This window comes from Homo sapiens, chromosome 13 (assembly GCF_000001405.40).
Source record: "Homo sapiens chromosome 13, GRCh38.p14 Primary Assembly".
NCBI classification, from domain to species: Eukaryota; Metazoa; Chordata; class Mammalia; order Primates; family Hominidae; genus Homo; species Homo sapiens.
This window is the reverse complement of record NC_000013.11, coordinates 99,064,833-99,089,996: the sequence shown is the minus strand read 5'-3', so window position 1 is coordinate 99,089,996 and position 25,164 is coordinate 99,064,833. Positions and strand designations below refer to the sequence as shown.

Here is a 25,164-nt window from a genome sequence, read left to right as displayed (position 1 = left end):
TATGTATTTGTGTCTCTTCTTATAAAGACACCATTCAGGCTGGGCGTGGTGGCTCACGCCTGTAATCCCAGCACCTTGGGAGGCTGAGATGGGCGGATCACCTGAGGTCAGGAGTTCGACCTGACCTCAGCCTGGCCAACATGGCAAAACCCCTTCTCTACTAAAAATACAAAAAATTAGCCAGGTGTGGTGACAGGTGCCTGTAATCCCAGCCTCCTGGGAGGCAGAGGCTGCAGTGAGCTGAGACTGCACCACAGCACTCCAGCCTGGGCAACAGAGTGAGGCTCTGTCAAAACAAACAAACAAACAAACAAACAAACAACCATTCATACTGAATTAGGGCCCACCTATTCCAGTAGGACCTCACCTTAAGTTGGTTACATGTGCAAAGACCTATTTCCAATAAGGCCACATTCACAGGTACTGGGTTTGGAACTTCAATATATCTTTTGGGGGACTACAATTCAACCCAGAACAGTAGGGACCAAGTTTCTGCTGAAACTTTAACACTAGGAATGTCCCATTTGTTATCAACAGCACTTCACCAGGAAGAAGAGGCTCCACTCTGGGTTGCTGGGTCCATCTTCCTGGGCTTAGTTCACGTTTCCATGCCGCCTTGTCTGTCAGAACCTGTGCTTGGTTAGACATTGCCAGTGACTACTGTTGGCACATTGTCTGTTGTTCTCTGCTTCCTAAATGAAAATCTGCCAATTCTAGAATATACTGAATCAGCAAGTAAGTACAGAATTTAGGAGTGGTAGAGATATGGATAAAATTGGTAGGTTTGGGGAATTCTTCACTTTCCAGATATACATATATTTAAATAAAATTTATGGTAGGTCATTGTCTTGGACTGAGCTCCTGAACTAGGCCCCAACAGACCAGACTAAAATGAAGCCACTGTGTTAGGTGCCACGTAACTAAACAGAGATTTTAAAAAACAGGAAAATCCCCAAAAGGGCCAGTTTTCCAAAAACCAGGAGATTCACAGCAACCAGTCAAACGGGGCCCAGTCAGCCTGAGCCAGCTAAGGCAGCCCCCTCTGCTTTAACCCATAAAGGAGAGTAACCTGAAGTTACCCGATGTGCTTTCGGCACTATGCTTTTCCCTTGTTCCTGCTTAAGTTACCTTAACAAAACCCAGCTGTTCTTCCATTCCCACAAGAGCTCCCGTCTATTTTGTAGTCAGAATGCTGCCTGGTTCATGCATTGCTAATAGAAGCCAATTAGATCTTTAAAACCATTTGTTGAAATTTTGTTCTTTAGACTACACACACACACACACACACACACACACACACACACTCTACTGTAATCATATAGCTCTTAAAAAAAGAAAAGAAAAAAGAATATAAAACCCTACAACCTTAGGTGCTTTTGTTGTTGTTTTTAATTTAAAAAGACAAAATTGTTCGCCTTGTATAGAAGTAGATACAGCTTAGAGAGCCAAGGTAACAAGAGGGGAAAAGTTTGTGTTGTCTGGTACTTTTGAGGGAGTCAGAAGCCTAAAGGGAGGCTCTAACTCATGATTCTCAGAAGACAACTGTTGTCAACAGTTCAAATGAGAACTGAACGGCCACACTCCTGCAGCTGAAAGGAGTCAATGCGAGCTGAGTTGCTCTCACCGAACAGAGTGCGTTCCCCGGGGAGGCAGGGAAAGGCCGGCTTGCACCTGCTCTGTCACCCAGCTCCACTCTTAGGACAGAAGAGGTCTGGAAAATGTCTGGGCCATTCCCTCATTTCACGGAGGAGGAAATGGGTTAGTGTGTAATTGTTTTTATCATCACCCTTGTTTTATCTTTCAATCTGCCAGGCTCACTCAATGCTACATCCTGCAGTCCCCACCCACTGGAGAAACAATCCGATCCTGCAAGTAATTATTGAGTGCGGACGGCATACCTCACCTCCAGACCTGCCCATTAAACCCAGAACGGAGGTGTTTTGCTCTCTGCGCTAGATCGGTATTTTCCCCTACCACTTTAAGATTACGCTTCAGGCCAGTGTTAGGCTTTCTGGTGGGGTGGGACGCAACAGGCGGCCTCCTCCACCGCAGCGATGGCGGCTATGAAACCTCTGGGTATTTGGGCGGGAGGCGCGGCAGGTATTCTCCCAAAACTGGGTTTTCAAGACCACCACTCTCTGCGGAGGCCGACCCGGCAGGTAAGGAACTGTCCATCGGAAGGCAACGGGCGTGGCGTGAGCAGCCCGACCAATCAGCAGAGCCGCCGTTCAGTCAGGCTCCCCGCCCGGGGTACCCGCCCAGTCCCCAACCACTGAGCATGCGCCGCGGGCCTGGCGCAAATCCCCGCCTGGCGCGCCCTCTCCGCGGCCCTGTGAGGGTTAGGCTGCGCCGGGCTTCCTCAGAGAGACAGAAACGGAGCCGGGGCGGGAGCGGGCCCTTAGGGACAGGAAAGCGGTTAGGGTATTGGGGGGAAAGTCCCTCACAGGGTGGCTGTCGCTAGCGGCCGCCAGCTCTGCGTCACGGTGGGCTCGCAAGCCGGCGCATCGCAGTTTCCCTGGTACCCCGCCTGGCGGTCCGGCGCGGAGGGGCGGCAGACCGGCTAAATCGGCCCCAGTGAGGGCCGCCGTGTCACCTGAGCCCCTTCCAGGCCGTTGTCCTCAGGTTACAGGCGACATAACCGAGGCTCCGAAGTATTGCCCACGTCCAAGGTGACGCAGCTGGCCGTCCCGGCGGGCCGGAGTCTGGGAGTCTCCCACGCCTGGCCCGGCCCAACCGTCATCGTCCCGCCGCGAGCTCCGTGCCTCCGGGGACTGAACGGTGGGGAGGCCGAGGCGCCACACGAGCGCGCGGCGCCCCGCGCCAGGTTCCGAGCAGGGACGCTCCGTCCAGGTCCGCCTGGCCGGCCGCGGGTTCCGATCGGTGCCACATAAATAAAGGCTACTTTCCTGAGACCTCTGTCCCCGCAGAGGCCCCGGGCGCAGAGGGGGGGCGTGGTGCACCGAGCTCCGACCCTGCCGGTGACTTCGGGGTCCCCTCGAGCGCAGCCGGGCTCCCTGGGCAGGAAACCCTGCTCCGAAACCGCGCATCGTCCAGCCTCGGCTGTGCGCCCTCTTGGTGGCGTGCGCAGTCCCCTCCTCCGGTCTTCGGACGTGCGGCCCGGGGCGGAGGCGGCCCCGACCCCCCACCTTCCCCAGTGAGGGTCCCGCGCGGCACGCCGCCCCTGCCAGTCCGGCCGCCTAGCTCCAGCGCCGGGCCGCGCCGACCTGCCTGGCCCGCCGTCCCGCCGCGGCGGCCCCTCCTCCGCCGTCCGGGCGCCCCGCCCCGCCCGCGCCGCGCCGGACACCCCGCCCCGAGGAGGCGGCCCGGCGAGTGGTCGCCGAGGGAGGCTGGTGGCATGGGGGAGCCGCCGCCGCCACACGCACGGTCGCCCGGAGCGAGCCCGGGCGCTGCTGCGATCGCGGGGGGCCGCGGACGCCGAGGGGGGCGCCTTGGGGCGTGACACGGTGCAGAGGGCGCGGCCTGGGCTGCGGCGGCCGGACTCGCGGCGAGCAGCGGGGGGAGCAGGCGGCGGCGGCGCCGGGAGCGGCGGGCGGAGCGGGCCGGGCGCCGAGGGCGCACCTGGCGGCCGCGCGGCCGGGCCGGGCCGCGGGAGCAGGCGGAGGCGGAGGCGGCGGGGGCAGGAGGATGTCGCAGCCGCCGCTGCTCCCCGCCTCGGCGGAGACTCGGAAGTTCACCCGGGCGCTGAGTAAGCCGGGCACGGCGGCCGAGCTGCGGCAGAGCGTGTCTGAGGTGGTGCGCGGCTCCGTGCTCCTGGTGAGTGCGGGACGACCGCGGGCCGGGGGAGGATGGCGGGGGCGCAGGCAGCTGCGGGCCCCGGGCCGGGCGCCTCTTAGTCGGCAGGGCTGAGGCAGAGCGGCCGACCCTGCTGGGTCCGCGGAATCAAGAGGTGGGGCCGGCGGGAGGGAGTTGGACAGGGGAGAAGAGAAGGTCCTGGAGGGGCTGCAACTCCCAGACCCCTCCCCGCCACCCAAGATCCTGTCCCCATCGCTGTCCCCTTCCTCCTGGGAAATTTCCGCAGAGTGATGTCGCCCTGTCACTCTTTTCACCCCGCTCTCTCCCAATTTACCTGCTTTCTGTCAACTGGGAAATTACACTCTCCCCCCTCCCCCGCATCCCTCCCCCGTATCCCTCCCCCGGCCTCCCTCTCCTTCCATGTTTTGGAGGGGCGCAGGGGAATTGAGGTGGGGGCTTCCTCATCCAGTCTGCGCTCAGGGTGGGAGATGCCCCTGCTAACCCTTTGAGTTGGCTGAACTCCAGGAGGGAAGGACTTCGGCATCCTCTCCTGCGCCCCCCACCTCCAAGCCGGTATCCTGAAGTTTGGCCGCCTTTTAGGAAGGCTTGGGGGGCATGATGGGAACCCTCGCTAATTTAGTATTGGTGCAAATTCCTGTGACGTTTGGGGGTTCTAAGTAAGCAAAGCCATCAGCCCAAAACGAATCTTCCCGTGGCAGAACGTCTTTAGAGAATAGGCCTCTGGGTGTGAGGAAGATGAAGTTTTCGATTAACTTTTTCACAGCCAGCGCCGGTCCTGCTGTATTTGGAAACGCACTACAACCCGATTCACCTGGATGGTGCGGGAGTGGAGCGACGTTTGAGCAGGAGCGAGCTCTGCAGGGCAGCTGGAAACTTTTAGCAGCTCCTTGCGTTGCCGCCGGCATTTGTTTTCTTGAAACGGGCTTGTTTGTGGGTGGGTGTGACTTGTGTTTGTTGGAACAGTGCAAGAAGATGGGCCTTGGAAGTGGTTGTCTGGGCCCTGTGGGGGATTGTCGGGGCAGAGTGCCGGGCCCCTTAACACAGGGGCGGATGCATCATTTTGGTGGCAGATCGATGCCCTTCCTGGGCAGACACAGAATTGCGTGAATGACGTTTGTGGAGATTGGAGATGAAGCTTCGCTGATTTCTATATCCAGTTTGCTCAGTTTGAATTTTCTCTCGATTGCTAGCTCTGCCAACTCCAAATTTCTCCAACTCCAGTTTGATCCATAGTAAACAAGGATTTAATTTTTCTATTTTAGGGAAGTCGATTAGGTAAGGAGTAGAGCAGGAGTTGGGAATAGACCAGAACCTGGCCATCTCTTCCATAACCAGCTAACTTCTGTGTGGCTTCCTGCATCTTCCTGAGTTTTGCCAGTGCATGTTAAGGATAAAGCCTGCAACTTCTTTGGCATCTTTTCTGTTCTCACACAGAAGTTGGTTCCTTTATCTGGGGCCTGCCGTGGTCATCAGGGATTTGAGGCAGAAGAAGAGTAAATAAAGTGTACCAGTGTGCCATGATTTCCAAAGTGCTGCAGGTACTGGTTTAATAAGCCGTGTAGATGGAGCCCAGGAGTGCTGGTGCAGACACAACACTGCTGATGTGCAGTAGTCCCCGAATATCTGCCCTTCCCATCGGAGGATGGCCTACTAATGGTGACCTAGGAGTGTCCATTCCCACGTGTGACAGGCTGCCAACTGTGTTATCTCATGATACTTTAGTAGTACATCCGTTTTCCCTGGACACCCTTAAGCATGAAGAGCCAGATGCCCGGCTGTTGTCTTAACTCTTAGTCTCGTCTGTCTGTGGTCACTTGTCTGATGAAACCTGTGATGGAACAGATACAAAATGCAGGGAAGCAGGTGGGCCTGCTCTGGCATGTGAGGGCCCCTGGCTGAATGGGAAATAGGAAATGCATTGTGATGGTTCTGAATTGCAGAAGGAAGAATCTGGGAGGGCTTACAGATACTGAAAATTACCCACACACCTCATCCCCCCACCTCCTTCCTGGTACTCTGCCACTGCTTACTTCCTCTAGTGGCTCCAGTGTCTGCCAGGGAGCCACAGCAGGTGCACCTGCCACATAAGTTCTGGCCGGGCTTTGTTGTATGAAGGTCTAAGAGGTGAGGTAAGGTAACCCTGGACTTCTCAGGAGGCAGAGCAGCAACCACGCCAGGTTCAGAATCCCATGGTCTGTGCATCTGTCCTTAGATGGAAATAATTACTCTGTGTCTGATAACTTGGGTCAGCACTAATACAATGCCCACAACATAAATGCTCAATAAATATTCTTATCTAGCTAATAAAGCAGTTCTGCAGATGGATTTAAAAAAAATTAAACTATGTGTGGGTTTAGTAGCTCTTCCCACACTTCAAGTATTGATGAGTGGATGGTCATGAGATCAGAAACAACAAAATGAAATAGTTCAGTGGATGATAAAGGCTGCCATTAAAAACAAGCTTTAAAATGTAAACATAATGTGGGCTTATCCATTTTTCATTGTTCAATAGCTTCATTTTTCATGTGTTCAGGTTCATGGACTTTCATGAATGATTTTGTATTAATTTGTTTGAAAAGCTTGAAAATAAGCATACAAAAAGTAGAGAGAATAGTATAATGAACCTTCATATTTCATCATCCAGATTGAATAATTATTGAGATTTTGCCAAACCTGCTTCATATGTCTCTTCTTCCTATTATTTTTCATGTGTGATTGTGAGTCCCAGGCCTTATATCATTTCACCTCTATATAACTAGTATATGTTACTTAAAAATAGGGTCTATTCTTACATAACTGTGTCATAATAAAATTAACAACTTGTTAGTATGCTCTTCACATTTCCCAGATTATATTAAAAAATATTTGATTGTTAGTTTGTTCTAATAAGGACCTAAAAAAGCTTTGTAGGCCTTGTCAAACATGGTTAGCTCTTTCATGAGCCTTAGAATTCTTTTTTTTTTTTTCTGAGATGGAGTCTTGTTCTGTCACCCAGGCTGGAGTGCAGTGGCGTGATCTCGGCTCACTGCAACCTCCGCCTCCCAGATTCAGGTGATTCTCTGGCCTCAGCCTCCGGAGTAGCTGGGATTACAGGTGTGTTCTACCATGCCCAGCTGATTTTTGTGTTTTTAGTAGAGATGAGGTTTCATCATGTTGGCTAGGCTGGTCTCAAACTCCTGAGCTCAGGTGATCTGCCTGCCTCGGCCTCCCAAAGTGCTGGGATTACAGGCGTGAACCACCACACCCAGACAGAATTCTTTATAATGGAGAGAACCCTCCATGGGGTCAGGACTTCTGGGTTTTAATCTTAGAGGTTTAGTAGTTTAGAGCATGGGTTGTAAACCTGGTTTTATGCCTCACCAGCTGTACAATCTTAGGTATATAACTTAACCTTGTTGGGGCTCAGTTTCTTCATCTGTAGATTGGAGATAATAATTATGCTTTCCTTGTATTGTTGTTGGAAGGATTAATTGAGCTATGTGGGTGAAGCTCTTAGGCAGTGGCTGGCGTATATTCTACCAGCTACTTAAGTCCCCTTGGACTGTTGCTTAATGTCTCTGAACTTCAAGGTTCCTGCTCTGTTAAATAAGAGGCATACTCGGTTTTTCTAGAGTCCCTTATTCCACCAATGGGCTTCTATTTGAAGCTGTTTTTTTTTATTTATTTATTTATTTATTTATTTATTTATTATTATTATTTTTTTGAGATGGAGTCTTGCTCTTTTCACCCAGGCTGGAGTGCAGTGGCATGATCTTGGCTCACTGCAACCTCCGCTTCCCGGGTTCAAGTGGTTCTCCTGCCTCAGCCTCCTGAGTAGCTGAGATTATAGGCGCCCACCACCACACCCGGCTAATTTTTTGTATTTTTAGTAGAGACGGGGTTTTGCCAATTTGGCCAGGCTGGTTTTGAACTCCTCACCTCAGGTGATCCGCCCACCTCGGCCTCCCAAAGTGCTAGGATTACAGGGGTGAGCCACTGCGCCCGGCCTTATTTATTATTCTTTTAGAGACCATCTTAATCTGTCACCCAGGCTGGAGTGTAGTGGCATGATCATGGCTTGCTGCAGCCTTTGAACTCCCGGGTACAAGCAATCCTCTTACCTCAGCCTCCAGAGTAGCTGGGATTACAGGCATGCACCACCACGCCTAGCTAATTTTTGTATTTTTTTTTAGAGATGGGGTTTTGCCCTGTTGCCTAGGCTGGTCTTGAACTGGGCTCAAGCAATCCCAAACTCCTGGGATTACAGGTGCGAGCCAGCATACCCAGCCCTAAGCTGCTTTTATAAAAGTAGTGGAGGTGCTACTAGGAACATTTTTAACTGTAGGAAAAGTAATTTATAATGTTTGGTAATGAAGGAAGAATCCTCACAATTTCAGAATTAGCTTTCCATAATTTAGAATAGTCAGGAAGGTAGCATGTTCAAAACGTACGCGAACTCAGAAGAAAAGCTAGAAAGAATTCCCTGAGCAGGGTTGAGTTATGATTACTTTTAGAGCTCCTGAAAGGATTTTACCTCAGGTCTTTCAGATGTATTAAAGATGGCATCATAATGACCTAGATCTAAGAGGATGTATTAATACCACTCAAAGCCTACAAGTGTCCTTTCTCTGAAAGATTTGTGTGAATATCAGGTCACATCCCTTTGCATGGGCATGCTGACTGTCCTGCACTTGGGTATTAATATACAAGTCTTCTGGCTGCCCGGCTTCCTTACTGATCTTATCTCACTATGTTCAACTTCAAACTCTTCTTCGATGTCAAGCACTTGCCAGTGATGCCACTCCTCACCCCTTTGAATTCCAACAATACAAATGAAACCAAGTCAGGTCGTTGCTAAATTTCGCTTGGTATTACTGAAGGAGGGCAGACAGAAGGTATGGGATGGTAGTGTCCCTGAGTCTGCCTGAGGCTTCCCTCACTGCCCCGTTTATTCAGCTCAAGATTCCAGTGCTGTCGGAGGTAACGTGAGACCCCGGTAATGGTGTTCTTTGAAATTCTCAAGTAAGGTAAAATCTCGTTTTTGGCTATAATTTAAAATCAGATGTCAGTAAGCTGATAACTGAACTGGCCAGGGCTTCTCTGCACTGTTTTTCTCCACCCTCCAGTGGAGAAAACAGAAATGTCCCAAAATATCGGAAGCAGGGTGGAGGCCCATCTTGGACTATATCATTAACAGCAGGTTCCATTCCTTTGGCTTCTAGTCCTTTTGATTATTAGTACACTGTCAGGAGGACATTAGTGAGGCCTTGAGTTTGAACAGGGAGGGAAGGAACTGTGAAATCACTGTCCACATTTACTGAGGGCCGACCCTGGGGCAGGGCTCCCTGCTGGGTGCTAAGAACATGATACCATGTCAGAGTAGGCCCTTGCCCGTGTAGGGTTTATGATCTAAACAGGTGGACGGGTCAGTCACCTACTCTAAGGTGACTAACAGTACTAAGGCACACCATGGAAAGAGTCAAACGTGGTTCAGTGACCAGAGGAAGATGAAAGCACAGAACCAGTGTATTCGGGAAAGAATTTATTAAGAATTAAACTGGACCTGGAAGATGCAGAGATAAGGAAGACTTTTATCCTTTTTTTCTAGGAAAGAATAAGAAATTGAGCAAATGCTTAGTATGCTCAGGTAGGACCAAGAAGGAGCAGAGCGGCTTGGGCAAAGAAGAGCAAGTTTTTGGAGGAAGGGAGAGAGGTTTTGAGAAATTACAGTTGCCAACTTTGGGAACAATTTCATTGATTGGCTGAGAACACATCCTGAAATAGATTTTTTTTCCTTTGTCTTTTTGAAACTATTTCAGGAAAGAAGTTCAAACCAGCCATGAACATATGCTTCCTAGAGAGACCTTCCCTAAGTGTAATCCTGAGAGTAAATAATGTGACTGTTTTCTGTCAGGCAGGCCCAAGAATGGGATGGGAGGTGTGACGTGGAAGGGAAAATCCAGTAACAGGCCTGTGTGTGTGTAGGCACTTAGGTATCATGAGAGCAGTAGTCGGATATGGTGAGTTACCATTCAGTAAATGGTGTTACAAATAATAATGTTGGAGCCCTACCTTACAGAACATACTGAAATAAATTATAGTGAAATATAAGAGTTATTTGTAAAATAAAAGAAACCACATAAAACATGGGGAAATAATCATGTAAGACTGGAGAGGGATATTTATGTATTTATTTATTTATCTGAGATGGAGTCTCACTCTGTCACCCAGGCTGGAGTGCAGTGGTGCAATCTTGGCTCACTGCAACCTCTGCCTTCCGGGCTCAAGTGATTCTCCTGCTTCAGCCTCCCAGGTAGCTGGAATTACAGGCGTGTGCCACCACACCCGGCTAATTTTTGTAATTTTAGTAGAGACGGGGTTTCACCATGTTGGCCAGGCTGGTCTTGAACTCCTGACCTCAAATGATTCACCCACTTCGGCATCCCAAAGTGCAGGGATTACAGGCATGAGCCACCACGCCCGGCCTGGAGAGGGATTTTTGAAGTATGAAATTTCAGGAAGAAACCAGTTGGACCTGGGCTTTGGAGGTGAGCCTTGGCTTTGCCACTGATTGGCTGAGGACTTCGAGCAACATACGTTGCCCGAGTCTCAGTTTGCTCATCTGAGTATTGGGATTGGTAGGTATTATCTTACAGAGTTTTTTAAAAGTAAAGATTAAGTAAGATAATGCATGTGAAGTAGTTAATAGTGAGTGCTTAGCAAATGCAAGCTCTTATTATGTTACTAAAGGAGAAGATTGATTATCTTGACTAAATATTTCTGGAGCCAGCATTTATTGACCACCTATGATGCCCTAGAATGCATCTGAAGGCTTCACACACAGGTTACGTTACCTCGAGGTCACAGGTGTAGGTATGGGGGCTGAGTCTTGAAGCTTGGCACTGTAACTTCACACCCTGAGCTCCTAGCCACTCTGCCTGTTGCCTCCCCATGTTAACACTAAATGTCTGTCTCTGTAAGTACCATACAAAAGTCAAACAGTAAGCTTAGAAACAATATTTGCCCTGTAGCTATTTGTCTATAGAGATCTCTTGGTCATAGTGTTAAGTTAAACTTTTTGCTTGGAGGGCTACCCCATTCTGCAACTCCACGGCCGCATTCACATGGACATAAGCTGTACTGTACAGTATGGAATGTAGGTTTGATAAGAATGAGGTTTTAAAAGTGTACCTGTCATAAAATTATTTTTCTTTAGCATAAATCTCTTATATACATTCGTTGACTGGCTATCGGCCTGACCTATCTGTGTTTAGTCTTTAACATAAACCAGAATGCAGAATGTTAACAGTGGTTCTCTGGATGTGGGGTGATGGGAAGTTCACTTTTTTTTCTTCCGATTTTCTGTCCTTCCCAGATTTCTACAGTTGACATGTATTACTTTTATCACTTTGGTCAATATTGACAGGAAAATGATTTGAGAATGTGCTGTGATAATTGGAGCCCTCAGAGCGAAGCCACTTACTCCTGAGAGATAGTTCTTTTTCTTCCTGTTGTATATTTGAGCTTCTGCAATTTTAAAAAGTTGCTCAGAACTTAGCAAGTGGTGGAGAGAGGAGGGCTGGGAGTTTCTGAGATGCCGGAGGCTATCTGTCACAGGCTCTGCCCTTGGCTATTCCCTGGCCTGGGGCTTCTTGGCTCTACTGACCCAGCTCTTATCTTTACTTCTACACTGGCTGGTCTGCCTCTGCTTCCTCACCATCCACAGCTCCCTATCCCTGTGACCTGCTCATGTCCTTAGTGTGGGGCGGCCTCTCAGGGCTCACCCCATACGACTAAGCACCCTCTTCCGTTCTGTGGAACAGGATTCTCCTGCATCTCCTCCTCCTTCTCTGATGTCTGTTCCTTTATCTTCTTCACTCTTTTTGTTGTAGTCACCACAAAGGGGCATTCCTAAAGGGTCTCTTCTCCACCACTGGTTTATAGAATTTAATTGTTTCCCTTCACTCCGAAGGGGGGCACCACCTCTTTGCAATTTCCACAGTTTTATCTCAGTTCTGATTCTCCCCGCTTCTACCGCATGTTGTGCCCCGCCCTAGACCTGCTTTTCTGTTTTCCTGCCTGACTCTTCTACTTGGCTGTCCTACCAGCTCCTTAAGTTCAGCATCTATGAAACATAAATTGCCACTTTTCATCCCAAGTTAGGTTGTCCTTTTTACATTCTTGTTTTAGTGGGGAGTGTCATTTCATCACCAACTATGAAATCTGTAACTCCTCCTGTGTCTCTTCTGTTTATCTCCTTTGCCTTCCTCATTCAAGAACCACTACATTCGTTACTTTCTGTCATGAATCAGTCGTTATGGGCCAAGGACTCCCAGATCTCAGTGGCTTAGAACAGAAAGGTTTATTTCTTCCACACGCTACCTCTCCATTGAGTGTGGGCTGGGAGCCTAGTTCCATATTGTCCTGGGACCTCAGTTGATGGGACAGCCCCCATCTTGAATGTGGCAGGTCTGTGTGGCAAAAGCAAATCACATGGCAGCACCGAACTCCAGGAGCAGGGAAGTACAGTCCTTTCTATGTGTCTGCAAGGAGGACTCACATCTTTGGTGAGCAGCACTGATGCCTGCTGCAACCTGGCATCCCCTTTCCTGTCTCCTTTCTTTCCTGGTCTGTGCAGTAGTAGGGTGTATTAGTCCATTTTTGCACTGCAATAAAGGCATACCTGAGATTGGGTAATTTATAAAGAAAAGAGGTTTAATTGGCTTATGGTTCTGCAGGCTGTACAGGTTTCTGCTTCTGGAGAGGCCTCAGGAAACTTACAATCATGGCAGAAGGTGAAGGGGAAACAGGCACATCTCCACATGGCTGGCAAGAAAAGGGAAGAGCAAAGGGAGAGGTGCTACACACTTTTAAACAACCAGATCTCATGAGAACTCTATCATGAGAACAGTAAGGGGGAAGTCTGCCCCCATGATTCAGTCGCCTTCCACCAGGCCCCTCCTCCAACACTGGGGATTTGGGTGGGGACACAGAGCCAAACCATATCATAGGGGATAGGATCCTTCTTATCTGGTTTCTTTGCTACCGTAATTAATCCATCCTTATAGGTTCAATTCTAAACCCTGAAGACATTAGTATTTCCCATTGCCCTTGGGATACAAACTATTTCCCTTGGACCATAAGGCTCTCTCCTTATCAGACACCACCCTCCCATGTATGCCAGCCTCTCTCATACTCCAGGAGGTAAAAAGCTCTCACTTCTGCCTGGAATAATCATGACCCCTGGCCACCCCTCTCAGTTGCCAGGCCACTCTCTCTGGCCTTTGAAACTGTACTCGCATGTCCTGGCCTATCCACCCAAACTAAAGCATGCACTGCCTGTTCCTTTCCTTTGACCACTTATCACAATTTATTTATTTATTTATTTTTGTACATTTGCTTAATGTCTTTTTCCCTCCCTGGACTGTTGGTTCACCGTGGTTTTCGCAGGGCCTGGTGCATAGCAGGGGCTCAGTCATATTTTTTGGATGAATGAACAAACCCTGAAGATGCTACATCTGACTCTATATCTTCATTTTATCCTTTTCGTATTTCCTATTACCTCTAATTTCTCTTCCCTGCACCCATTTCTATTTATTTCATCCCAGTTTACCTCCTGCTGCCAGATTAATTTTCCTAATGCACAGGCTCTATCATATCATGAGTTTCTCATTGCTACATATGACTAATTTGCCAATATTTTTGCACATCAGAATGTGTATCACTTTGAGGCTGGTTCTGTGTTTGTTTTAGTTTAGGAAAAGCTGTTCAGATTGTCTGTAAATCCGTATGGGGATCTTTGCATAGGATTTTAAAGCAGCCACACATCTTGTACAAAATGTATAAGATTAATTTTCTATGTTAGGACCATTTGTTTTCACCAATTCCATAGAGCTCCAATGTGTAAAAGAAGACACTGATCTAACTCTTGTGTTAAATATTTAGTAACTCATTTATCTGGAAGAAAGCAAAACAAAACAAAAATACAAGGAATAAAAATCACTGGGAGTGCTTTTCATTCACTGAATAATGAGTTTTGCAAGGAGCACGTGGATGGTGACATTATATCTTTTACATCTTTATTTTCTGTTTCTTTTTTGACTCCTTATCAGTGAATTTATCTTATTTTATACTTTTACTTTCTATTTCTTTCTTGACTCTTTGTTGGTGAATTGGTAGCAAGAGACTTACTGTCTGATCAGAACTTTGAATCTTCCTGCCTCTCTTTCTTTGAGGTTGACAGGGATAAAGATAATTAAGATAGCGCTTGGGTGTGATGACACTGGAAGACAGGCTGGGTCAGGGCCTGTAGTAGAGACTTCCCCCCTCTATTGAATGTTAATCTGAAAGTGAATCTGAAAGCAGATGGTCATGAACTACCCAGGGTCTCCATTAAGCCCATGAAGTTTATTTTAAAACTCTTAAAATAGATTGAGATTCAAATTGAGATTCATGTCTATTTTTTAAACATTGTGTCTTAACAAAGTAGATGTTCAGTCATACAGTTAGGCAAATGTTCTAAGGAAAGATGTTTACCATGCTAAGTTAAAAAAAAAAAAAAGTTATAAATAGTGCCATTGTCTGGGTGCAGTGGCTAACACCTGTAATCACAGCACTTTGGGAGGCTGAGGTGGGGCAATGCTTGAGCCCAGGAGTTTCAGACCAGCCTGGGCAACAAAGTGAGAACCCATCTCTAAAAAAAAGAAAAAAAGGAAAGAAAAAATTAGCTGGGCTTGGTGGCACACACCTGTAGTCCCTAGCTACTCAGGAGGCTGAGATGGCAGGATTGCTTAAGTCCAGGAAGTCATGGCTGCAGTGAGCTCTGATTGAGCCACTGCACTCTAGCCTGGGTGAAAGTGAGACTGTCTCAAAAAAAAAAAAAAAAAAAGTACTACAGCTGACCTTTGAACAACATGGGTTTGAACTCCACAGGTCCACTTATATGCAGATTAAAAAAATAAGTGTATTGTAAACATTTTTGGAGATGTGCAACAATTTGAAAAAACTCACAGATGAACTGCATAGCCGTTGAAGAAATTAAGAAAAAGGTATGTCATTAATATATAAAATAATGTGTAGATACTAGTCTATTTTATCATTTACTACTGTAAATGATACACAAATCTATTATAAAAAGTTAAAATTTATCAAAACTTACCCACACAAACACAGACCATACATGGTGCCATTTACAGTCCAGAGAAACAAATGTAAAGATGCAACATTAAATCATAACTACATAAAATTAACTACAGTACATATTGTACTACTGTAATGATTTCATAGCCACCTCCTGTAGCTTTTGTGGTGAGTGTTGTGTTGTGAATATCCACTTAAAACACCGTGTGACACCAATCATCCCTATGTGAGCAGTTCCTCTTTCCAGTGCTGACCCAAAAAGAAGAAGAGGAGGCAAAATTTAACGTAAGTAGAGAGTTTATTTGGGCCAAGCTTGCTGCAACTCAGGAGCAAAGGTTCAAATTGCCCTGAATATACACTCTGATTAACAGGAGTTACAAGTGGATTTTTAAAGGAAAAGAAGAGGCAGTTTCTGAGTTGTTTACCAAGAATTCACATGAAAACAACATGGGCTATTGATTGGCTCATCTGTTGTTCTTTGTATCACACATTCTGGGAACATGAAGATAATGGGGGAGGCAGCTAGTCAGGAACCAAATGACTTTAAACAGTTGCCGCTGGGCACGGAGTGGGGCGACCCGAAGTCTCATATTCATGTCTCTTCTCTGGGCCTGCATAGTTCACATAGCTCAGACTGCTCCGAGCTGTTTTTCTTTTCTCTCTAGTAAATTGCTTATTGCGGTAAAAAGTGATCTCTTGCCTTCTTGTATATGATGTTCAGTGTAATACCATAGACATTGAATAACACCATTGGACCCTTACAAAGTGTCAGCCCTTACAAAGATCCTGGAAGCGCTCCTAGGAAACAGAGAGAAGTCATGACATTACAAGAAATAGTTGAATTACTTGATATGTTTTGTAGACTGTGTTCTGCAGCTGCAGTTGCCTGCCATTTTAAGATAAATGAATCCAGTTTAAGGACCATTGTGAAAAAAGAAAAGGAAATTTGTGAGCTGTTGAGCTGTAGCTGCGTCAGCAGGCATAAAAACCTTGCACTTCTTGCAAAACACCTTTTTATCTTGTAGTGAAAATGCAGCTTTTATGTGGGCACAGGATTGCTATAGAAAGGAATACCTATAGACCGATGAGTTGAGAAAAGGTGAAGTCATTATATGACAACTTAAAGCAAAAGGAATGTGAAGGATCTGAAGCTGGAGAATCTAATGCCAGCAAAGGATGGTTTGATAATTCTAGAAAGAGTTTTGGCTTTAAAAATATCAAGATAACAGGAGAAGCAGTTCTGTCAACCAAGAGGCAGCATACAAGCTCCCAGATGTCGTTAAGAAAGTCATTGAGGAGAAAGGATATCTGCCCGAACAGGGTTTTAATACAGATTAAAGTCCCTATTCTGGAAAAAATGCCACAAAGGACATTTTTTAGTAAGGAAGAAAAGTGAACACCAGGATTGAAGGCAGGAAGGGTTAGGCCAACTCTACTGTTTTGTGCAAATGCAATCAGGTTTATGATCAGGACTGCCCTTTTCTATAAAGCTGCCAACCCCCTAGCCTTAAAGGGAAAAGATCAATGCCAGCTGCCAGTCTGTTCATTGTATAAGAAGACCTGGTCAAGGAGAACCCTTTTTCTGGATTGGTTTTGTTACCAGCCATGGGTTCTTGGGCCCTCAATGCAATAGAAATCGACCCGAGGCCGAAAGAAAAGCCTTCATTGGAGCTTATGCCTGAGCATAAGGGAGGAAGCATGAAAGAGAGAGAGAGAGAGGAGAGAGAGAGAGAGGAGAGAGAGAAAAGAAGAAGAAGAGAGGAGAGAAAGAAGAGAGAGAAGAGAGAGAGAGAGAGAATGAATGAGAATGAGAGAATTCCTTAGCTGACTCTCTGAGCCTGTAGGGATTTTCTATTAGGCAAAGCATGGGAATTGACATCAGGGGTAGGATATGCAGGGTGGGCTGGGCAAAGCACGTGGTAGGGTATGCGGGTCAGAATATCTGGTTGCGATGGTTATCTTGAGTGATGGGCCACATGGTGGTCTGGCCGGTGGCAACAAGGCTATAAATCAGTTGGTCAGCATTCCTTCCTGAGGTGAGACACTCTGCAACCTTGGTTCCATATTTTGGATCTCCTATGGCCAATTCCTGGAATTCTTTTTTCTTTTTTTGAGACAGGGTCTGTCACCCAGGCTGGAGTGCAGTGGTGTGATTTTGGCTCACTGAAGCCTTGACCTCCCGGGCTCAAGCAATCCTCCCATCTTCAGCCTTGCAAGTAGCTGGGACTATAAGTGTGTGCCATGATGCCTGGCTCAATTTTGTATTTTTTGTAGAGATGGAGTTTTGCCATGTTGCCCAGGCTAGTCTCAAATTCGAGTTCAAGTGATCTTCCTGCCTCGGCGTCCCAAGTGCCAGGATTACATATGTGTACCACCATGCCTGGCCCCTGGAATTCTTTAAGTAAAAGGCATGGTTAAACATTCTGAGAACACAGAAGAACAATTTAGAATGGGTGTTTTCTTTATCTGACTAAAGCCTCAGGGTTAGTGGGTATAGATAGCATCAGCGAGGTAGTGGTATGGGGTTTTGTGATCACTGGGGATGCATGAAAGAATGCTCTGGTTGGGGTGAGCTGATGCTAAACCCCATCTTTAGTTTCCCTCAGTTTCATCAGTGCTTTGTCCCCGAAGTCAGGAAGTACCTTGCAAACAAGAGAGTGCCTTTTAAAGTTCTTTTGATATTATACAATGCTCCTGGCCACCCAGAACACATGAGTTCAACACCAAAGACAATGAAGTGGTCTACTTGTTCCCAAACACAATGTCCTACTTCACCCTCTAAATCAGGGGCCATAAGGACCTTTAAGGCTCAATGCACACTGTACTTTATGGAAGGGACCGTAGCGCTGTGGAAGACAACCCAAATAGAACATCATGAAAGTCTGGAAGGAGTGTATCATTGAAGGATACCGTCATTGTTATACAAAAAGCAGTGAAAGCCATCAAGTCTGAAACATTTCTGCTGGAGAAAACTGTGTCCAGATGTTGTGCATGACTTCACAGGATTTATGACAGAGCCAATCAAGGAAACCGTGAAAGAGATTGTGGATATAGCAAAAAAGGTGGGGCTGGGGTGAAGGGTTTCAAGATAAAGACCTTGGAGAAATTCAAGCGCTAATAGACACCACACCAGAGCAATTAACAGAAGAGGTCTCATGGAAACTAGTGCTTCAGAACTAATGCCCCATGATGAGGAAGAAGACGTAGAAGAAGAGGCACTGCCAGAAAAGAAGTTGACGTCAGACAGTCTGGCAGAAGCATGCTAATTATTCAAGAGTGCTTTTGACTTCTTTTATGGCATGGATCCCTTTAAGATACGGGCACTGAAACTAAAGCGAATGGTGGAAGGATTGGTACTATATAGAAACATTTTTAGAGAAATTAAAAAACTAAAAAGCGAGCCAGAAATTATGTATTTCAGTACAGTTACACCTAGTGTTCCTGCTTCTCTTGCCTCCTGTCCCACACCCTCCACCTCTACTGCCTCTGCTACCCCTGAGACAGCAAGACCAGTCCCTCCTCATCCTCTTCCTTAGCCTACTCACTATGAAGACGATGAAGACCTTTATGATGATCCACTTCCATTTAACAAGTAGTAAGTATATTTTCTCTTCCTTATGATTAATAATGTTTTCTCTAGCATACTTGATTGTAAGAATAGAGTGTAATAGCAGGGCACAGTGACTCACGCCTGTAATTGCAGCACTTTGGAAGGCCAAGGTAGATGGATGGATTGAGACCAGGAGTTCAAGGCCAGCCTGGGCAACATGGCAAAAAAAAAAAAAAAAAAAAAAAAAAGCCAGGCATGGTGGCAAGCACCTGTAGTTCCAGCTACTTGGAAGGCTGAAGTGGGAGGATGGCTTGAGCCTGGGAGGTTGAGGCTGCAGTGAGCTGTGTTCACACCACTGCACTCCAGCCTGAGCAAAAGAGCAAGACCCTGTGTCAAAAAACAAAAAAACCAGTATAATATATATCACATACAAATTGTGTGTTGTTTATCAGTAAGGCTTCCAGTCAACTGTAGGCTATTAGCCAGTTTCTGGGGAGTCAAAAGTTATAGGTGGATTTTTGACTGTGCAGGGGGTTGGTAGCTCTAGCTCCTGCGTTGTTCAAGAGTTAACTGTAATATACAGAACTATTTACTTTTTTATGAAAAAAATAAGCAATATTTTGTTCACGGAAAAAAGTTTATGATCTTACAGATTCTAAAGTAAGCCATTCTCTTTTGTTTCAAGAATAAGTTAAATATCAAATGTTTATTCCCTCAGTTCTAAACATAGAAATGCAGTTGTATAACCAAGTTTCTGTTACTAGGGGGATAGTTCTTGCCATGGATGGCAGTAGGATATAGTGCATGAGAACTTGGGTTCAGGAGGCTTCAGCCCCAGCTCTTCATCTACTAGTTCTGCCTTCTCAGTTTCTTCACCCAGAGAGTGGACATTTTAATAGCACTTACCCCATAGATCTTTGTACTTAAGCGAGCAATTGCATATAAAGCACTTAGAATGGGGCCTGGCACACAGTAAATACTCACTAAGTGCAAGCTGTGGTTATTTATGGGGGCAAGCTAAAGAAATACCATATAACCCTTTAAAGTGCTGCTTGCGGAGAATTTATAACACAGGAAAATTACAATGTTGAGCAAAAAAAACGCAGTAAGCAGAAATGCGTGTGGTCACAATTGTGTGAAAACATGTTTAAGAAAAATATTGGAAGGAAACACATGAAAAGATAGGAATATGATTTGTTTTTTATATATTCTAGGATTTCCCAGCTGTTTAAGTGAATAGGTAATAATCTATTAAGAAAAAGCAAATACATTGAATATTGGAAGGAAAGTTTGTACTACATGTAAGATGTTCAAATCGGTATGCTTGAAAATTACACTTGTATATCTTAGTGCTTGTACACATGGGCATTGTGATGTAAAATATGTTCCTGAAGTGAGGGCACACACATGCATGTTGGAAGCAAAAATATTGTCAACAGTTAAGAGCCCTGCATTAAATGCTCATAGAGGCGGGATGCCCCTGTGAAACAATGCAACTTTGCATTTGACTGTTTATAAAGTTCTTTAAAGAAAAAAAAAGTCTATCTTTGGCCTCTGGAAAATCTGGTCAGATAGACAGGGATAGTTTTATTATTTCTGTTTCTTGATGAGGAATTAAAGACCAGAGAAATCAAGTGACTTGCTTAATTAAGGTCACCTGGCTAACCTTAACCCTTTTCCTGGCAAGATGGCAGAGATTGTCTAAAAGTGTCAAAACATTTTAAGATATCATTTTGAAGTTGGAGTTTCTTGAAAACTTTTAAGCGATTAACTTGAATCATTAAACATATTTTTTGGAAAGTACCACTAATTCTCTAGGTTTATAGAAATGCGTGACATGAAAGTGAAATATTCTTTTGGAGATGAAAGTCATCTTTGGTGGTCATCTGGTCCAGCTTCCTAATTTTGCAGATGAGGAAGATGAGATCAGCCATGGATAAACCTTTGTGGTCTACAGCTAGTTATAAAGACAAGAACAAAATCGAGTTTGCCAACTCCTGGTCCAGTGAATTTTCCAGTGACTATAGAAAATAATTACATTACTTTGTTTACACTTGTGTGTTGTCAAGTGTCATTGGTAATCAGATAATAGGAGACTATGAAACATCTATTTGCACCATGGATCTCCTCCGTGCTTGTATATTTCATTAGTCCCAAGCTAGTTTGTTGGTGAAATTGATATTCATGTTTCTACAAGCCAAGAAAGGAGTTCTGCATTTCTGTTTAAGGGGTATTAGGATGAAAGGGAGAAAGAAATAAAAAGCAAAACTTAGAAAATTAATCTAAAAAAGGTCTCAGTAGTAACTTATTCATGAAGGAAGAACTAATTTAGTAGTCAATGTTATTGAAGGGACAGAATATCACAGTTTTACACGTACATTGGTTAAAATTATGATGTGGCTTGAGAAAAAACCTCCCTAGGCCTATTAACCTAAAATTTGTTAGTGTAGAATAAGCTCTGTTAATCTAGGTCATTTTACATTTCAGGCTGCTTTGCGTTGGCTAAAATAAATATTCAGCTGTAAATGACAATTTGGTTCAAACTGTATTATTATAGAAAGAGTTGCATTTCTAAGATTGTTTAGAGGACTTATTTAATCTGTCACTCTAACATATTGCTGTTTTCTTAAGTAGAAAGCAGAGTTCCTATGGTGATAGCAGAGGTGCCATAATATTTATAGTATAGTAGGTTCATCTGTAAACTATTATACTAGCTAGAATTTACAGGATATTTAATCTCTTAGGTTAACTTTTTCCTTCCCAGGCTTTTACTGTGTTCATTTTGCCATTTTTATTTTCCTTCGCTATTCTTATAAGAATCTTCTATGTTATTTTTTTCCTAAAAGATCGAAAGTAACTGCTGTTAAATGATTTTTTTTTTTTAAACTGAAGGATGTATGTGCTTAACTAATTTCTGTGGAGTTCGTGAAAAACTGATTGAGGTATTAGGGTTTTTTGTTTGTTTGTTTGTTTTGAGATGGAGTCTCGCTTTGTCGCCCAGGCTGGAGTGCAGGGCGCGATCTGGGCTCACTGCAGGCTCCGCCTCCTGGGTTCAAGTGATTCTGCTTCAGCCTCCCCAGTACCTGGGATTACAGGCGCCCACCACTGTGCCCAGCTAATTTTCTGTATTTTTAGTAGAGATGGGGTTATCTCCATGTTGGCCAGGCTGGTTTCAAACTTCTGACCTCAGGTGATCTGCCACCTGGGGCTCCCAAAGTGCTGGTATTACAAGCATGAGCCACTGCGCCCGGCCAGGGTATTAGGTTTTTAAAGAGACTTTCTTAGTTCTCCACTGAAAACTCAGAGAGGCGGAGATTCCTGACAGTGTTGGTTTCTCCTCGAAGTTACTAAACACATTGGTGTTGAGATTTCCTTCATGTGTAAGAGGTGGCATGAGAGAAAAGGGATCACCAATAGCAGATGAGGGTTTCTTGAATTGAGGATAGTCACAGTTGGTGATTCCATATCCTGGTCTAGAGTATCAATGCTGGGGCAGGAGGTGGGGGGTTGAAGATTATGGGCTGTGGAGAACCACATGTGGGGTACTGGGGATCGGTTCTTTCTGTAGGCTTAGGGAACTCTATTTGATGGGGGAGAGTTTCAGAATAGCTCCCAGAATTTGGGGGAACTACAGATGTTTTTTCCATGGCTTCAGTTGTTAGACATTTAAAAAAAAAAAAAAAAGCTTCTGTCCTTACAATGTGGAATCTTGGCATCTTGGATATCCTCCACCCTGGGCAATGGGCCCCGAAGCAGCCCTACCTCTCCATCTCTTGGGCAACTCAGTGGGAGAATCAGCATATTCCAGTGAGCATTGCATTTCATGTCAGGAAAATGGTATTTTACCCATACTACTTACTCCTTTATGGTCTTGGCCTGGTGCCTATGGGTGGCACCTGCACAATGGAGAAGTCACTGACCAGCCTGGAGTTGATTTAAGCTGCAGAGTTGATTCCTTTCTGACCAAATCATTTGGTTTTGAGTCTGGCCTGGTGCAGACCTGGAGCTCACTTCCATCTGCAGTGACCTTTGGGAGAGGAGGGGCAGAGGCCAGATGGAATCCAGTCTTCTCTGCTGCAGGCTTCCCTTGTGATCTTTTTCCACATTCTCAGGCCAGGGCATCTTTCCCTGGAATTTGGAGAGGATTCAGTGTCCTCTTTTAGTTGAGGATCTTAGCAGATCTTGAGTCATTTTTGAGTTCTTGATGATGATGTTAGCAGAGAAAAATGCAGTGCTGTTAGAAGTTTTTAAAGCTCTCATACCTTAGTATTGAGTAGGTCTCAGGTTGTCACTCATGATTCATTGACTCAACAAACACTAAAGAAAGGTAAACATTTGGTGAAGACACTATCCTTGTCCTCAAGGAGCATGGAATCTGGAGTGGACAAAGGAACACAGATGGGACCCAGGGAGCTTTGGTGTTGAGGTCCTCTTTTAGGGTCCTCTGCCGCTTGGCTATTTTGCTCCTGGAAGGAAGAAGGAAGGTTGTGACCGGTGCAGATGGAGTTTGTAGGAAGGTGTCAAGACTGAAGTCAGCCTTCTGGGTAGTAGAAACATACTGGGACCTACTTATCTATTACACTCCTTTTGCAAGATTCAGAAACCGGATGTTTAATATGGCTGTTATTCATGGGAGTAGTGATAGGATATTTCTCTTGTAAAGATTCTGGGTAGTGGCAGAAGAAATTACCATGAATGAGATACATGCAGTGAGAATTGTGGGTCAGGACTCCAAGGAACAGGCTAGAGAGATGGGATGGGAGGCTTTTTAGTTTTATGGTAATGTAGCTATTGACAACCTAAGGACTCCTAAAATTAGCATTTTGTAGCTATATGCAGGTAATTTCCTTTTAAGCTAACTAGGGAAAACAGGGCATTTAAGAGATTTATTTCTCTTGGAATTTAGAATACGCTCCATAGGTGCAAAGATCCCCAAAATATGCAAGGAGTTGGATCTTGACGATGTCCTTAATTAACTCCAGAAGCCATGTTAAGCTTGTTAAATAATATAGTATATTAACATATTAAATTTATATTAAGTAACATAGTATGCTATTATAGTTCTTTGTCTATCATAGTTGATATAGAATTGAAAATGAAACCAGTTTTCCTTAGAATTGAAAATGAAACCAGTTTTTGTGGAGTTCTAGATTAAAAATAATCTGAAATGATTGTGTGTACTGGGCATGAAAAGAAAATTCAGTCTTTTTTTAAGCTCCATAGAACACAAATTTGCATGGCACCATTCCTTGGGTTTTAGTGATTGTAAAAGATGCTGAATACTTAGCTTGGGGGCTTTTGGAAACAAGGTGACATTCTGCTGATTTGCAGTGGGGCTAATGATCATTGTTTCTAGAAAAACACCACTTTTTGAGTGCCAAGAAACATGCTAAAGTACTAAAGTTGGTTCTTAGATAAAGATGTGTACACTTGTGTTAGCCTTGATCTTTGTTTAGTTTTATCTTTTTTACTTATGCCATTCAGGACGTGTGTGGGTCATGTTAATCTCCTGGGTAAAGAAATGAGCAAGTATTTATTTGATTGGCAAACAAATAAGCATGCACATGTATTTTATAGATGCTTGAAAACTGTTTCCCACATATATCTGAACTGATAAATTTTAAATTTCGTACATGCATCAATTAAGTGAACACATTTGTTGAGTCCAAACACATTTGTTGAGTGCCAAGCACTGTGCTAGGTGCTTTGAGGAATCAGGATGAGTGAGACAGATCCTGTCCCATCTTGCCGACTGACTAATAGGAGAGAGAAGATTGCAAAATGAGCTTCATGTATACCTAATAGAAGATTGTATCATTGGAGAGTTATAAGTAAAGCGTTAAAGAGGTCTCAGGAGAGAGATTACCTCCAGTGGAGGGAATCAGAAAAAGGGTAATGAAGGAAATGTGAGAGATACAAATTATTCTAGATAGAGGGACCCGTAGGAGCACAGGCCTTGAGGAAGGAAATCATGGCGTGTACTTGGGAAACAGTGAGTAGTTGCGTCTGGTGTCATGTATGGAGGGTTAGAGGTACACAGATTCTGGTCACCCAGGGAGTGAGGAAGGCAGACAAGGCCAGGCTGTGGAGTGTTGACTTGATGCTTTGTTGTGGGTTTTCGAGCTGGAAGGCCTCAAGATTAGAACTTTGCTGTGGGAATACAGTGACTGTGTTGTCAGAGCTTAGTTGCTGGGGATTGGGTGGGATTAGAAAGCTGGGGGTTGAGGTGTTACTCAGGAGACTTTTGCCATAATTTAGGCAGCAGGTAATGAGGGCAGAAAGTAATGTGTAAGTTATGTGTAAGAAGTATTTTGGGACTAAGCTGATGTGTATTTGAACCTGATTAGATTAGGACATTTATTTATTCAATGAATTTTGATTAATAATCCTCCTTCCTCTCTCCACACAGTGAGCTTGGAGCTCCCTGGCCAGGTGAGGTCAAGAAGCAAGAGGCATTAACTATAGCCTTAGGTTTCAGCCGTGCGTGACTGTGCTGGGAGTGTGGTGATGCAGAAACCTGAGAACATCCAGCCCGTTACACAGGCCTTGAGAAGAGTGTAGAATTTATCTGGTCCTTCGCTTTCAGATAATTTCAGATAAACCATTGCAGACAGATGAGAATCTCATCTCCCCTTATAAACCACCAGCAGAGGAATGGATTAGCAGTGAGCTATTAGGGGGCCTTCATTTTTTAGAGAGTGTTTAGGGTAGAACAGACAGCT

General features: G+C 45.1%; 1 protein-coding gene and 1 long non-coding RNA gene across 12 annotated transcripts in view, besides 10 other annotated features; one reads left to right on the top strand and one right to left on the bottom strand.

The window, feature by feature from the left end:
- Positions 1-1,371: 1,371 nt before the first annotated feature.
- On the bottom strand, positions 1,372-3,274 carry DOCK9-DT (DOCK9 divergent transcript). The gene has a single exon (NR_047482.1). It is a non-coding gene; the product is annotated as a DOCK9 divergent transcript (long non-coding RNA).
- DOCK9 (dedicator of cytokinesis 9) overlaps positions 1,378-25,164 on the top strand; it is a 295,191-nt gene continuing 271,404 nt past the window's right edge. For 10 of the 11 annotated variants that reach the window (XM_005254035.4, XM_006719937.4, NM_001318849.2 and 7 more), the window contains exon 1: positions 3,303-3,774. In XM_005254035.4, the coding sequence (XP_005254092.1) occupies positions 3,646-3,774 (129 nt within the window). In that variant the 5' untranslated portion in view covers positions 3,303-3,645. Of the gene's footprint in view, positions 2,160-3,302; positions 3,775-25,164 lie in introns of those variants that run through there. The other variant, XM_047430231.1, reaches the window with a different exon arrangement.
- Positions 1,589-2,148: an enhancer, noted in NCBI's record as "H3K27ac hESC enhancer chr13:99740103-99740662 (GRCh37/hg19 assembly coordinates)". NCBI's record gives its function as "activates a minimal SCP1, AML or CMV promoter by ChIP-STARR-seq in primed H9 embryonic stem cells {active_cell/tissue: H9 hESC(primed)}" and the evidence as "EXISTENCE:reporter gene assay evidence [ECO:0000049][PMID:30033119]".
- Positions 2,153-2,382: a silencer, noted in NCBI's record as "silent region_5465". NCBI's record gives its function as "represses an Ori minimal core promoter by ATAC-STARR-seq in GM12878 lymphoblastoid cells {active_cell/tissue: GM12878}" and the evidence as "EXISTENCE:reporter gene assay evidence [ECO:0000049][PMID:35858748]".
- Positions 2,711-3,272: an enhancer, noted in NCBI's record as "H3K27ac hESC enhancer chr13:99738979-99739540 (GRCh37/hg19 assembly coordinates)". NCBI's record gives its function as "activates a minimal SCP1, AML or CMV promoter by ChIP-STARR-seq in primed H9 embryonic stem cells {active_cell/tissue: H9 hESC(primed)}" and the evidence as "EXISTENCE:reporter gene assay evidence [ECO:0000049][PMID:30033119]".
- Positions 2,711-3,422: a biological region, named in NCBI's record as "H3K27ac hESC enhancer GRCh37_chr13:99738979-99739540".
- Positions 2,963-3,022: a silencer, noted in NCBI's record as "silent region_5464". NCBI's record gives its function as "represses an Ori minimal core promoter by ATAC-STARR-seq in GM12878 lymphoblastoid cells {active_cell/tissue: GM12878}" and the evidence as "EXISTENCE:reporter gene assay evidence [ECO:0000049][PMID:35858748]".
- Positions 3,113-3,422: a silencer, noted in NCBI's record as "silent region_5463". NCBI's record gives its function as "represses an Ori minimal core promoter by ATAC-STARR-seq in GM12878 lymphoblastoid cells {active_cell/tissue: GM12878}" and the evidence as "EXISTENCE:reporter gene assay evidence [ECO:0000049][PMID:35858748]".
- Positions 3,463-3,942: a silencer, noted in NCBI's record as "silent region_5462". NCBI's record gives its function as "represses an Ori minimal core promoter by ATAC-STARR-seq in GM12878 lymphoblastoid cells {active_cell/tissue: GM12878}" and the evidence as "EXISTENCE:reporter gene assay evidence [ECO:0000049][PMID:35858748]".
- Positions 14,182-14,241: an enhancer, noted in NCBI's record as "active region_7925". NCBI's record gives its function as "activates an Ori minimal core promoter by ATAC-STARR-seq in GM12878 lymphoblastoid cells {active_cell/tissue: GM12878}" and the evidence as "EXISTENCE:reporter gene assay evidence [ECO:0000049][PMID:35858748]".
- Positions 14,332-14,411: an enhancer, noted in NCBI's record as "active region_7924". NCBI's record gives its function as "activates an Ori minimal core promoter by ATAC-STARR-seq in GM12878 lymphoblastoid cells {active_cell/tissue: GM12878}" and the evidence as "EXISTENCE:reporter gene assay evidence [ECO:0000049][PMID:35858748]".
- Positions 22,035-23,234: an enhancer, noted in NCBI's record as "P300/CBP strongly-dependent group 1 enhancer chr13:99719017-99720216 (GRCh37/hg19 assembly coordinates)". NCBI's record gives its function as "activates an origin of replication core promoter dependent on BRD2, BRD4, P300/CBP, MED14 and CDK7 cofactors, with strong dependence on P300/CBP, by STARR-seq in HCT116 cells {active_cell/tissue: HCT116}" and the evidence as "EXISTENCE:reporter gene assay evidence [ECO:0000049][PMID:35650434]".